General features: G+C 44.8%; 1 annotated feature.

Moving 5' to 3' along the window:
* Positions 1419-2097: a transcriptional cis regulatory region, noted in NCBI's record as "candidate enhancer chr18.1476 targeted for multiplex CRISPR interference". NCBI's record gives its function as "positively regulates DIPK1C gene expression with high confidence in K562 cells {active_cell/tissue: K562}" and the evidence as "EXISTENCE:mutant phenotype evidence [ECO:0000015][PMID:30612741]".

Here is a 12000-nt window from a genome sequence, read left to right as displayed (position 1 = left end):
TTTTATTTTTAATTAAGTATTATTATTTTTTTTAAACAGGGTCTTACTCTGTCACCCAGGTTGGAGTGCAGTGGTGTGATCTCAGTTCACTGCAGCCTCCATCCCCGGGTTCAAGTGATTCTCCTGCCTCTGCCTTCTGAGTAGCTGGGAGTACAGGCATGTGCCACCATGGCTAGCTTATTTTTGTATTTTTAGTAGAGAAGAGGTTTTGCCATGTTGGCCAGGCTGGTCTCAAACTCCTGACCTCAAGTGATCTGCCTGCGTCAGCCTCCCAGAGTGCTGGGATTAGAGAGGCATGAGACACTGTGCCCAGCCTAATTTTCCCTTTTTGATGGACTGACTTTCCAGTTACCTTCCATTTTCTTATTTGAGAAGAGAAGGGTATATTTGGGGATTTAAAAACATTCATAATTTCTACACCTTTTATTGGCAGTTTGAAACTATTTTCCCAACTTGCTTTTTATGTGAGAGGAGAAAAAAGCACTAGCCTGTTTCAGAATATAAACAGCTTTAAAACCCTTGATAAGGGCTGGGCGCAGTGGCTCACGCCTGTAATCCCAGCACTTTGGGAGGCCGAGGCACATGGATCACAAGGTCAGGAGATCAAGACCATCCTGGCTAACACGTTGAAACCCTGTCTCTACTAAAAATACAAAAAAATTAGCTGGGCGTGGTGGCGGGCACCTGTAGTCCCAGCTACTCAGGAGGCTGAGACAGGAGAATGGTGTGAACCCGGGAGTTGGAGCTTGCAGTGAGCCAAGATTGCGTCACTGCACTCCAGCCTGGGCGACGGAGCAAGACTCCGTCTAAAAAAAAAAAAAAAAAAAAAAAACCCTTGATAAGCAAAGGGAAATTGAAACCATCAAAAGTTCCTGCAAATATCCAAAGTTCTGTGTGCTTTAGGTGATAGCAGTCTACCCAGGGCCAGAGGAATGGAAGAAAGCAGGAGGCAGGCCAAACGCCAGCCCACGCCCTGTGCCTCATGTGTTACCACACAGAGTCCGCAAGCAGAGACCGGAGATTTTCATTCCTTCTTCGGACATAGCAAAATAACCAAATGCATGAAGAAATGTTCACTTATGTGACTGCATTTTCTGTTTGCATTCAAATACTTGGCACTGTCAGTGCCCAAGTAAGGTTTTCAAAACAATGTTTGGCTCAGAAACATCACTTACCATTAAGTCTGAGTCAAATCAATGTATTACCTTTCCTGGACCCATTTGCTTTAAGGTCTTGCATTTAATTAGGAAATGAAAGCCACGCTGAAAAATCCAGGCATAAACAGGCAAGTTGCAGTGTTTTTCTCTCTCAGTACCTTACAGTCAGCCACACACTGGAGACTTGGTTTATCAAAGTAATTTATTTCCATGTATTTTGGGTGCCTGGGGCTGTGGTAACAAATTGCACAAACTGGATGGCTCACAAAACCCAGAAATGCATGGTCTCACAGATCCAGAGACCAGAAGTCTGAGGTCAAGTCACTGTCAGGGACACGCCATCTCTGCAGCCATGAGGGAGAACCCTTCCTCCCCAGCAAACCTCAGGGCTCCTGGGTCACGTCACTCCAACCTCGGCTCTGTCTTCACATGGCCTTTGTCCCTGTGTGTCTCTGTGTGCCCCTCCTCTTCTTATAAGGACATCAGTCATTGGGTTTAGGGCCTGCCCTAATTCAGTACGACCTCATTTTAATGAATTACATCAGTAAAGGCCCTATTTCCAAATAAAGTCCTGTTCTGAAATCCAGGTGGACGTGAATTTTGGGGCATGCTATCCTGAGTCACGTATTATTTACATAGGGTTACAAAGCAGATTCTGTGTTCCTGGCCTCCTGAAACCACTTTGACTCAATCCTCCAATGGCTCCTATTATGGTTTGGCTGTATCCCCAGCCAAATCTTATCTTGAATTCCCACATGTTGTGGGAGGGACCCTATGGGAGGTAATTGAATCATGGGGGCAGGTCTTACCTGTGTTGTTCTCGTGATAGTGAATACGTCTCATGGGATCTGATGGTTTTAAAAAGGAGAGTTTCGCTGCACAAACCCTCTTCTCTTGTCTGCTGCCACGTGAGACATGCCTTTCACCTTCAGCCATGATTGTGAGGCCTCCCAGCCATGTGGAACTGTAAGTCCCTTAAACCTCTTTCCTTTGTAAATTGCCCAGTCTCAGGTATGTCTTTATCAGCAGCGTGGAAACAGACTCATACAGCTCCTATGCCCAACCATGTCTCACGCTGCAGAGTCAGCCAAACAAACCCGCTCATGAGCAATGTCTAGGGCAGCTGAGGGTTACTGGTAGTTCTAAAAGGAAGAAGAGAAATAAAAAGAGGAAGAAAAATTGGTGGGAAATGGGAAGAAAAGAATGCTTAGCGGAGACCAGAAATTGTAGCCAGGAGATGACAGTGCGAACCCCTAGCCGAGGGGCTGACTGTCAGGGCACAGCAGCCTCCCCTGGGCCAGGGTGAGAAATGAATACCCCAGCCACCCACAGTATCGCGGGTGAGTTGCTTTAAGCAACTCATGTGAAGCACAAAAGCATGAGCGAAATGATGCCCAAGACCGGGTCTTCCAGTAATTTCACTGCATGGAACTGTAGTATAGAAATGCTAGTTCCGTCAGGCATGCGGCAGATAACTGCCATTCATCCACGGAGTGTTGGGAGCAGGGCTGGGGAGTCCTGGCACAGATAGCACAGAATGTACAGCCTCTGCCAGCCCACTGTCTAGAGCCTCGTGGCCCTTGAACATAGGAGTCCCTCCTTGGAAGGCCTAAGAACACAACCAGTTATCCACACACGAGAAGCAAGGATGGCTTGTCAGTGACGCTTGATTGATGGTTGATTAGCACCAGAGAGAGCCCAGCCTGTGCTACGATATTGAAGCCGAGTCATAGACGTTATCTACCATGAAATCAATAAAATTTAAGTTGCAGGGCTCCTCCCCAAAGGCTCCTTCTAAATAAGCATTCACTTTTGTGCTTCATTCTTTTACGTGTAGTTTTGAGTTCCTTTTCTTAGGGCAATCCCTAAATTGCAAAACCTTCATGTTGCACAAGCCTGATTCCAGCCTTGGGCTAATTAAGGAGGGTGGAGCTGCTCAGAACCATCAGGCAAAGACAGCTAAGGCACCTGGGTCCCAGCTGCTGCAGCAAATCACTGCCCAGGATATCACATGGGCCCCATTCTGGAGGCTTCTGCCATCTCCTGATTCAAGTCATGATATCTATTTCCAAAAACCGTTTAGCTCTTCGTTGTACTTAATTTGACAAAATAAAATTTAAGAAACCATCTGCGTCAGCAGTTCCACTACCGCTTTTAGCTTAGGATATTGATAACCTTCGAGAATTATCTCGGTCCATGGACAATCTCTTGGGAAGCTTTAAAGAGTACAGCCATATCCCCAGTGCCCCAGAAAGTCTAGGTGACTGGTCTGTGGTGCAGCAAGAGTGTCAAGATGCTCAAGCCGCTGGGGTGTCTCCAAGCCCGGTAGGTCTGAAATCCAGGCCTGCTTTCTGGAGCATGGTGGGCCATTAGGACGGGATGTCTGGGAAGAAGCTAGGGAACTTTCTGTGCACTCAGGGTAATGGGTCATGGGGTTCTGGGCCCATGAAGGAGCCAGGGAGGCAGCTGGGGCATGGGCGGTGGGGTTTCTTCTCCCCATCACTCCTCCTTTGCGGTGTGTTTATGAGATGTGTAAGGAAGGTTTTCCTTCTTTTAGAACTGCGGGTCCAGTGAGGCCTTGGAGTTGGGAGTTGGGTCAAGGGGCAGGAGCAGGCGGGGGCAGAAGTGGTGGGGGGAGGAGTGGGTGGGGGCAGGAGCAGGTGGGGGCAGGAGCAGGAAGGGCTGAGGCTGCAGGCAGGGCTGGGGGCCTGTGGCCAGGGGTGTGAGGACCAGGCCCAGGCAGAATTCGCTTGACCACAAGGGCGCTGCTCTGGGATGCAGTGTGGCCCCAGGCTAGGGAGGCAGCCCCTCTCCTACTTGCATCCCAGGCCAGCAGCACTCTGATGTTGCAGGGCTGTAAGCATAGGGAGCACCCAACTCAGCCTAGAGGGGATGGTGGTGCCCTCAGGTGCTGGAGCTGACAGGAGGGCCAGGAGACCTGGGGTCAGTGTGAGGCCCTGAGCCACCCCATTGGAGACACAGAACTATGGGGGACTTATGGGATGGGCAAATGTATAATGTTAAGCCGACTGGAGTGCTGCGTGGCTAGAACGTGGGCGTAGAGAGGAACTGTGTCATTACTTCTTAGTCACTGTCGGCTAAGACTGGAAACATATGGGTAACTGCTAGAGTCTGAACGTATGTATCCTCCCAAAATTCATACGGCGAAGCCTAAATCCCCAATGTGATGGTATTTGGAGGTGGAATCTTTGGGAGGTACTTAGGTTGTGAAGGTGGAGCTCTTAGGAAGGGAATTAGTGTCCCTATAAGGGGATGAAGAGATCAGAGCGCTCTCTCTTCACCAGGTGAAGATACAACAAGAAGGCGGCCATCCATAAAACAGGAAAAGAGTCCCCACCAGAGCCAGGCCACGCTGGCACCCTGATCTCAGACTTCCAGTCCCCAGAACTTTCAGAAATTAATGTTTGTTGTTTAAGCCACCTAGTTTGTGGCATTCTTTTAGAGCAGCCTGAACTACGGCAGAAATATTAACATAAACTTATCTTGCAATTTGGTGGCTTAAAAATTCCCTCAGTACAACTGAAGAGAAGTTCCCAATTAAAGATTTTACTGAACAGACGGGCTCAGTTGTTAAATGCTGCTGGGAACCCTGAATAAAGTTTTATTTCTCTTTAAAACACATGTTTCCTATTGGATGAACATGGGCAAGAAAAATTAAGTCATGAATTCAGGCAGGTAACCTGGTCATGGATTATTATTCAGGGTTTCAAGCTGTGAACAGTTGTTGTCACTCACAATTCAGGTGTCACTTTTCACTGTGCTTCTGAAAAGAAAAACAAATGAATCAGAGCTTGGCTTTATGGGCATGAGGAACTCATCCTTAAATTAGCCCACAGTGGGATTTCAGCTGAATGTTGGAAGTGTTCCAGTCTCGCCTTTAAGTCTGCTGAAAATCCACAGGAGATACTGGAAAATCCATTTGCATTTAGCACCTGTGTTTGCCTCATAACTGTATATTATTATGCTCTCTAGATGTTGAAAGTGCCTGGAGAACTTTCCTTCCTCTGGGCAAATAAAAGGCAAATAAAAGTTGTGTATACCGTATTAGCTTCCTGTAGCTACTGTAACAAATTAACATAAGCTTAGTGACTGAAAACAGGAGGAATTCATTCTCTTACAGATCTTCAGGTCAGAAGCCTAAAATCCAGGTATTGGCAGGGCTGGTTCTTTCCTGAGGCTTCAGGGGAGGATCCATGTCCTTGCTTCTTCCGGCTTCTGAAGGCCACCGCGATTCCTGGGCCTGTGGCCCCTCCTTCCATCTTCAAAGTGCATCACCCAACCCCTGGCTGCATCCTCACACCTACTTTTTCTGACTTTGACCTTTTGGCCTCCCTTTATTCTAAGGGATCTTCTGATTACAGTATTGGGTCCACCCAGATGATCCAGGATAGTCTCCCATCTCAAGATCCTTCACTTAATCACCTCTGCAAAGACTCCTTTGCCATATAAGGTAACATATTCACAGGTTACAGATATTAGGACATAAGCATCTTTGAGGAGGAGGGGGTCACTATTCAGGCCCCCACACTGTGAGGTATTAGTGGAAAAGTCTGGGAAATGAACAGTCAGTTCTCAGACCCATCCTGCAGTATCCGGAAGGACCACTGGGGGTCTCTTGCTTCCGCACAGCGGGTTTTTGCTTGGATGGGGGATTCGTGTTCACTTGGCTCACAGAAAACATTTCTTCCCTTTCCCGTTCCTCCCTCTTTCCTCTCTCTTGTTAATAACCACCTTGTTTTATGTGTGTGATGAGATGTTACATGAGACTTCCTGTAGCCTTGGAGTTTTGACAGAAAGCTCGAAGACCAGAATAGAATAGGTCCAAGTACTCTGACATCTCAGCGTGAGGGGCTAGACTAGCCAGCAAGACTTGCAAAGGAGATGCCCAAATTGGGTCCTACCAGGGTTAGCCCTTCACCTCTCCCCAGTCCCCTGGTTACCAGCAAAGCTAAGACTATTTAGAGAGGTTGTCTTAGTCCATTTGGGTTGCTATAACAAAAATACCACAAACTGGGTGACTTATAAACAATATAAATGTATTACTGACAGTTCTGGAGGCTGAGAAGTCCAAGATCAAGGTGTTGGCAGATTTGGTTCATGGGTGGCGCCTTCTCACTGCATCCTCACATGGCTGAATGGGACAACAAGCTCCCTTGGGGACAGTTATCAGGGCACTAATCCCATTCATGAAGGCTCTGCCCTTATTTCCTAATCATCTCCCAAAGGCCCTACTTCCTATTCCCACCTCATTGAGGATTAGGTTTCAACATATACATATTTGAGAGACATAAACCTTCAGACCATGGCAGAGGTTGGAGGCAGGTGAAGCGAATCTCTTTGGGGTGAGTTGTCGGGGTGCTAGAATTTGCTCTCCTCTCCCCACTGGGAAGGAGAGGAGGTGCTTGGCCTGTATCTACTGATGTGAGTTTGATTTATGCTGAAAAAGCCTGCAGATGAATGTCTATGGCTGCTGGCTGCCCTAGGAAAGCAGAGAGGAAGTGGCTGGGATGGGACTGGTCTGTTTCTAGAGTTTCCCATGGGCCAGGTATGGATCCCATGGAAGGAATCAGACTGGATCATCTTGTGAGGGCCTCAACTGAATAAGCCAGATTGGGTGGCCATGACAAAACACCATAGTCTGGGTGGCTTAAAGAATGGGAGTTCTTTTCTCATAGTTCTAGAGGGTGAAGTTCAAGATCGAGATGCTAGGAGATTTGGTTCTTGGTGGGGACCATTTTCCTGGCTTGTGGCTGGCTGCCTTCTTGCTGTGTCCTTACATGGAGAGGTTTGGGGGGCCGGGGAGAGAGACAGAGAGAGAGAGAGAGAGAGCGCACATGCTCTGGTCTCTTCCTTTTATAAGGACACTAATTAACTCCACCATAGGGTCTCCACCTTCATGACCTCGTATTAGGTTGGTGCGAAAGTAATTGCAGTTTTTGCTTCCTTTTTTCTTTTCTAATAATCCTAATCACCTTCCAAAGGCTTCACCTACCAATACCATCACATTGGGAGTTAGGGCTTCAATGTATGAATGCAGGGAGGGGTACGCAAACATTCAGACTATGCACCACTCACGGGAACCACCTGGAAGGGGCAGGGGCGGTGGACACAGGTACAAGCAGCCAGAGGAGCCATCAAGGAAATTGTAGGAGAGACACTCAGCTTTTGGAGTGTCATCTCTGAAGAGCCTGTAAAGCATCCCTTGAGGGAAAACCCCCCAGCATTTGAAATACACGATATCTTGGGGGCTTCAATGTCAAATTACAACTGTCCTCCTCAAGTGAGACCCTTCCTGCCCAAGGCTGCCATATGCATGTGAAATCACTCCCTGGAGTTTTGCAGTGTGCAGCCTGCACCATCACACAGGGCAGCATGGCTTCTCACTGTTGCCTACTCCACCATTGCAGGGGCCTGAAACATCAACCAACAAGAGGGGGAGGGACAGCCAGTTTCTGCTAAAATGCAGACTTAGCATGGGCTCTGGCTGTCTTTCCATAAATCAACCTTGGATAAAAGAGAAAAACCTGGAATCAAGAAAACCACAAACAGGCAAATAAAGAAGCCCCTGGGGAGAGGGGAAGGCCGAAGGCTGCTTTTGTTGGTGTGGGAGAGGTTGGGGGGAAGTGGTAGCTGGGGTGGCTGTGAGGGGGTAAGTTAATTGAGAACAAAGCAATTTAAGTTCTCCTCTTGCCTCCCTCATCAGTGCATAGGGATAATCATCGCCCAAGACCAACAATGGAGGTTGTCTGTGGGAGTGGAACCAGGGCAGCACCAAAGCCTTGCTGAGTGACGAGGTGATTCATGCATTCATTTACTCAACAGATATTTACCAAGTTCTCTCTAATCTGGGCCCTGGAAATATAGTTGCACTCCTGGATCTATATTCTTGAGAGGAGACAATATTAAATAACAGAAGCAAAATATATAGTATGTAAGATAATAATGAGTTCTAGAGAGAAAAAAATTAAACAGGGACAAGTAGTGAAGGTGATTTTTGGGTACAGGTCAGAAGGAAGTGAGGGAGTGAGCCAACAGGACTTCTGTGGGATGAGCATTCCTGGTGGGCTCAGTAAGTTCAAAGGCTGTTAGGTGGCCATGTGCCCAGTGCTGCCAAAGAACAGCAAAGGAGCATGTGAGGCTTTCATGGAGAGAGTGGGAAAAAGAAAGCCAGGAGGTGGGGTCTGAGAAGTCACCAAGGGCAGAAACTGTAGAAAGTGGTGAGGATTTGGGCTTTGCTTAAGGGAGATGGAAATCCATGAGAGGGTTTGAGCAGAGGAATATCTGTTCTTGAGTATGAGCTGCAGCAGGACAAGGGTAGAGGTTGGCTGAACAGTTAGCTTACTGTGAGTAGAGATGTGAATGGGTGGCAGTGCGTGGTGATGAGTAACTGAATCTGAATAGATGCTGAGCAGAGCCAACAGGATTTGATGATGAATGGGGTTTGGGAGTAAGAGAAAGACAGAAGGCAAGGAGACGCCAAAGGCTTTTGCCTGAGCAATGGCAAGAAGGAAGTTGTTGTCTCCTGAGTTGGGGAAGAATGCAGAGGGAGTTAGTTAAGGAAGGAAGAGCAGGACCTCCGTTTCAGAAAGGTTAGGTTTAAGATGCATATTCGTTATCCTATTGGAGACCGATTAAACAGGTCAGGAGTCCAGGTCACAGGCCAGAGCTGGAGATACAATTGTGGTAAGTCATGAGCACACAGAAGGTACTTAAAGCCATGAGAATGGATGAAATCAGCAGGGAGTGTGTGTAAGTAGAAAGGAAAAGTCCAAGGTTTGAGCCCCTGGGCACTGCAACATTCAGAGGCCGAGGGGTTGAGAACAAACCAGTAAGCAGAATGAAGCAGAAAAAAGGAGGAAAACCAGGTTAGATTGTGTCCTGGAAGGCAGAGGAATAACAGCATCTAGGAGGAGAGCGTGATGAATGTGGTCAAATGTTGGTGCTCACTCAAATTAAATGTCAGCCAAGAAATCACCGTTGAATATAGCAAGGTAGAGGCAATCGGTGACTTGGAGAGGAGGAGCACTGGTGGGTCATCAGAGTAGTAAGGGCAAAACCATGACTGGAATGGATTCAAAAGACAACATTGACAGAGAATAGATGATTTTCTCAAGGATTTTTGTTGTGCATAGAAGGAGAGAGATTAGGCAGAAGATGGAGGCAAAGAGTTTTTGTTGCTTTTTCCTTTTGTTTTTTAAAGAGGGTGAACTAAGAGCATGCTTGCATGAATGATGAGCTTTGTGCCATTTGAACTTGACCTATTCTCATATTCCCTTTCCCCAGCTCTGCAGTAGCCTAAAAAGCTGCTCAGCCTGGCAGTCACTGGAGAGGTTTGGAGTTATGCAAAAAGTCCCATCCCCAGAGAATTGTCACTATTTGACCTGTCTGGAAGCTTTCTGGAAAAGCTTCGTTTTGTCTCTATTTGACCCTATTTGTCTTAGTTTGACCTGACTCAGAGTTCATGCTGTAAACAGCCCTATCTCCAGAGCATTCCTCAAAAACAGTCAGTAGCAATTGTTTAACATTGTATCCTCCTGAGGTGGTGATAACAGTTAGGACAAAAAAACCTTAAAGAAAAAACTAATGAGTAAGATGACTACGGAGACTTTGAAAAACTCCAACATATTTTTGGGAATTGAGAAAGCCACACACAAATGCAAGGCTTTGTGCCTGCCCAGAGAAAACCTCAGAAGGCTCTAATGTCTCATCTCTGGCTGACCTTGAGGCTCTGAACAAGCAGGAAGTAAAGACTAAGACAGAGTTGTAAGTTGCCTGCAAGAAGAGATGTGCTCCAACAGTGGTTGTACATGGTGAAGAACACAGACTTCATATAATTAGTCCAATAAACTCATTAAACAAGCAAATAGCAACAACAACAACAAACAGAAAAAACAACAAAACTTGGGAATAAAAGAAGAATCTTAATTCCAGATCTGACACACTATATTATTCTAAAGGTACAGATTTCAACAAAAAATGCAAAACATGTAAAGAAGCATGAAAGTATAGCCCATACACAGAGGGGAAAAAAAGCAATCAATAGAAATATCTGAGGAAGCCCAGATGTTGAACTTACTAGACAAAGACTTTAAACCAACTGCTATAAATATACTCCAAGAACTTAAGGAAACCATGCCTAAAGGATTAAAGGAGAGTATGAGAATGATAGCTCAGCAAATAGATAATACAAACAAAGTGATCAAAATTGTAAAAAGGAACAAAAGGAAAATTCTGGAGCTGAAAAGTTCAATAACTGAAATTAAAATTTTATTACAGAGGCTCAGCAATAGATTTGAAATGGCAGAAGAAGGAATCACTGAGCTTGAATATAGGACACTGAGATCATCCAGTCTGAGAAACAGAGGAAAATATGCATTAAGGAAAGTGAAAAGCACTTCTGGGACCTATAGAACACACTTGAACACACCAATATATGCATGATGAGAGTGCCAAAAGGAGAGGAGAAGGAGCAAGAGGCAGGGAGAATATTTGAAGAAATAATGGCTGAACTCTTCTCAAATTTGATGAAGATACTAATCTACACATCCAAGAGGCTGAGCAAACCCCAAGTTGGACAAACTCAAGAAGACAACTAGATACATCATAGTCAAATTGTTGAAAGACAAAGACAGGATCTTGAAAGTAGCAAGAGAGAAGCAATGTGTCATGTGTAAGTCGTCCTCAAAAAGATTAATAGTCAGTTTCTTTTCAGAAACCATGAAGGCCAGAAGTCAGCAGAATGACAGATCTACAATTCTGAAAGGAAAACACTATTAATCAATAATTCTATATCTGGCAAAACTATCCTTCAAAGGTGAAGGGGGAAAACAAGACACACCCAGATGAACAATCAGGAAGTTTATAACTGGTAGACTTGCTCTACAAGAAATGCTAAAGGAAGTCCTCCAGGCTGGAATGAAAGGACATGAGGCAGTAACTCAAAAGCATATGAAGAAAGAAAGAAGAATGGTAAAAGTAACTACCATTTATATATTTATTAATATACACTTATATACAAATATAAAAGCCAGTAGCACTGCATTTTTGATTTGTGACTCCTCTTTTTTCCTACATGATTTAAAAAATAAGTGTATAAATTAATAATTATAAAACCATGTTGATAAGTTTATAATGTTTAAACATGTAATTTGTGATAATAGCACAAAGAAGAAGAGAGAGTAGAGCTATATTAAAGATTTTATATGTGATTGAAATTAAGTTGGTATTAATTCAAACTTTATTGTCTTAAGATGTTATTGTCATCTCTATGGAATCCACTAGGACAATAACTTCAAAAAAATGCATGCATATATGCTGGGGGGAAGAGGAGAGAGAGAGAAAGAGCAGGGAAATTAAAATATTATACTACAAAATATCTAACACAAAAGAAGGCAGTAATAAATAGGGGAACAAAAAACTCTAATACATATGGAAAACAAGTGGTGAAATGGCAGATATAAAGCCTACCTGATCAGTAATTACATTAAATGTAAATGAACTAACCACTCCCTTAAAAGGCAGAGATTGGCAGAATAGGTAAATAAATATGATCCAACTCTATACTGTCTATGAGAGATACACTTTAGATTCAAAGACACAAAGAGGTGAAAAGTAAAAGGATAGAAAAAATTAAACCATGCAAACAGTACCCAAAAGAAAGACGGAGTTGCTATACTAATAGAAGACAAAACAAGTTTTATGGCTTTTTACTAGATACAAAGAATGACATGTTATCAGGTTAAGAGGGTAAATCATCAGAAAGACATAACAACTGTAAACATACACCTGCCTACCAACAGAGTCCCAAAATACATGAAGCAAA

The sequence above is a fragment of the Homo sapiens genome, chromosome 18, assembly GCF_000001405.40.
Source record: "Homo sapiens chromosome 18, GRCh38.p14 Primary Assembly".
Taxonomy (NCBI): Eukaryota; Metazoa; Chordata; class Mammalia; order Primates; family Hominidae; genus Homo; species Homo sapiens.
Note: the sequence above shows the minus strand (reverse complement) of the source record. Positions and strands in the feature narration are given on the sequence as shown.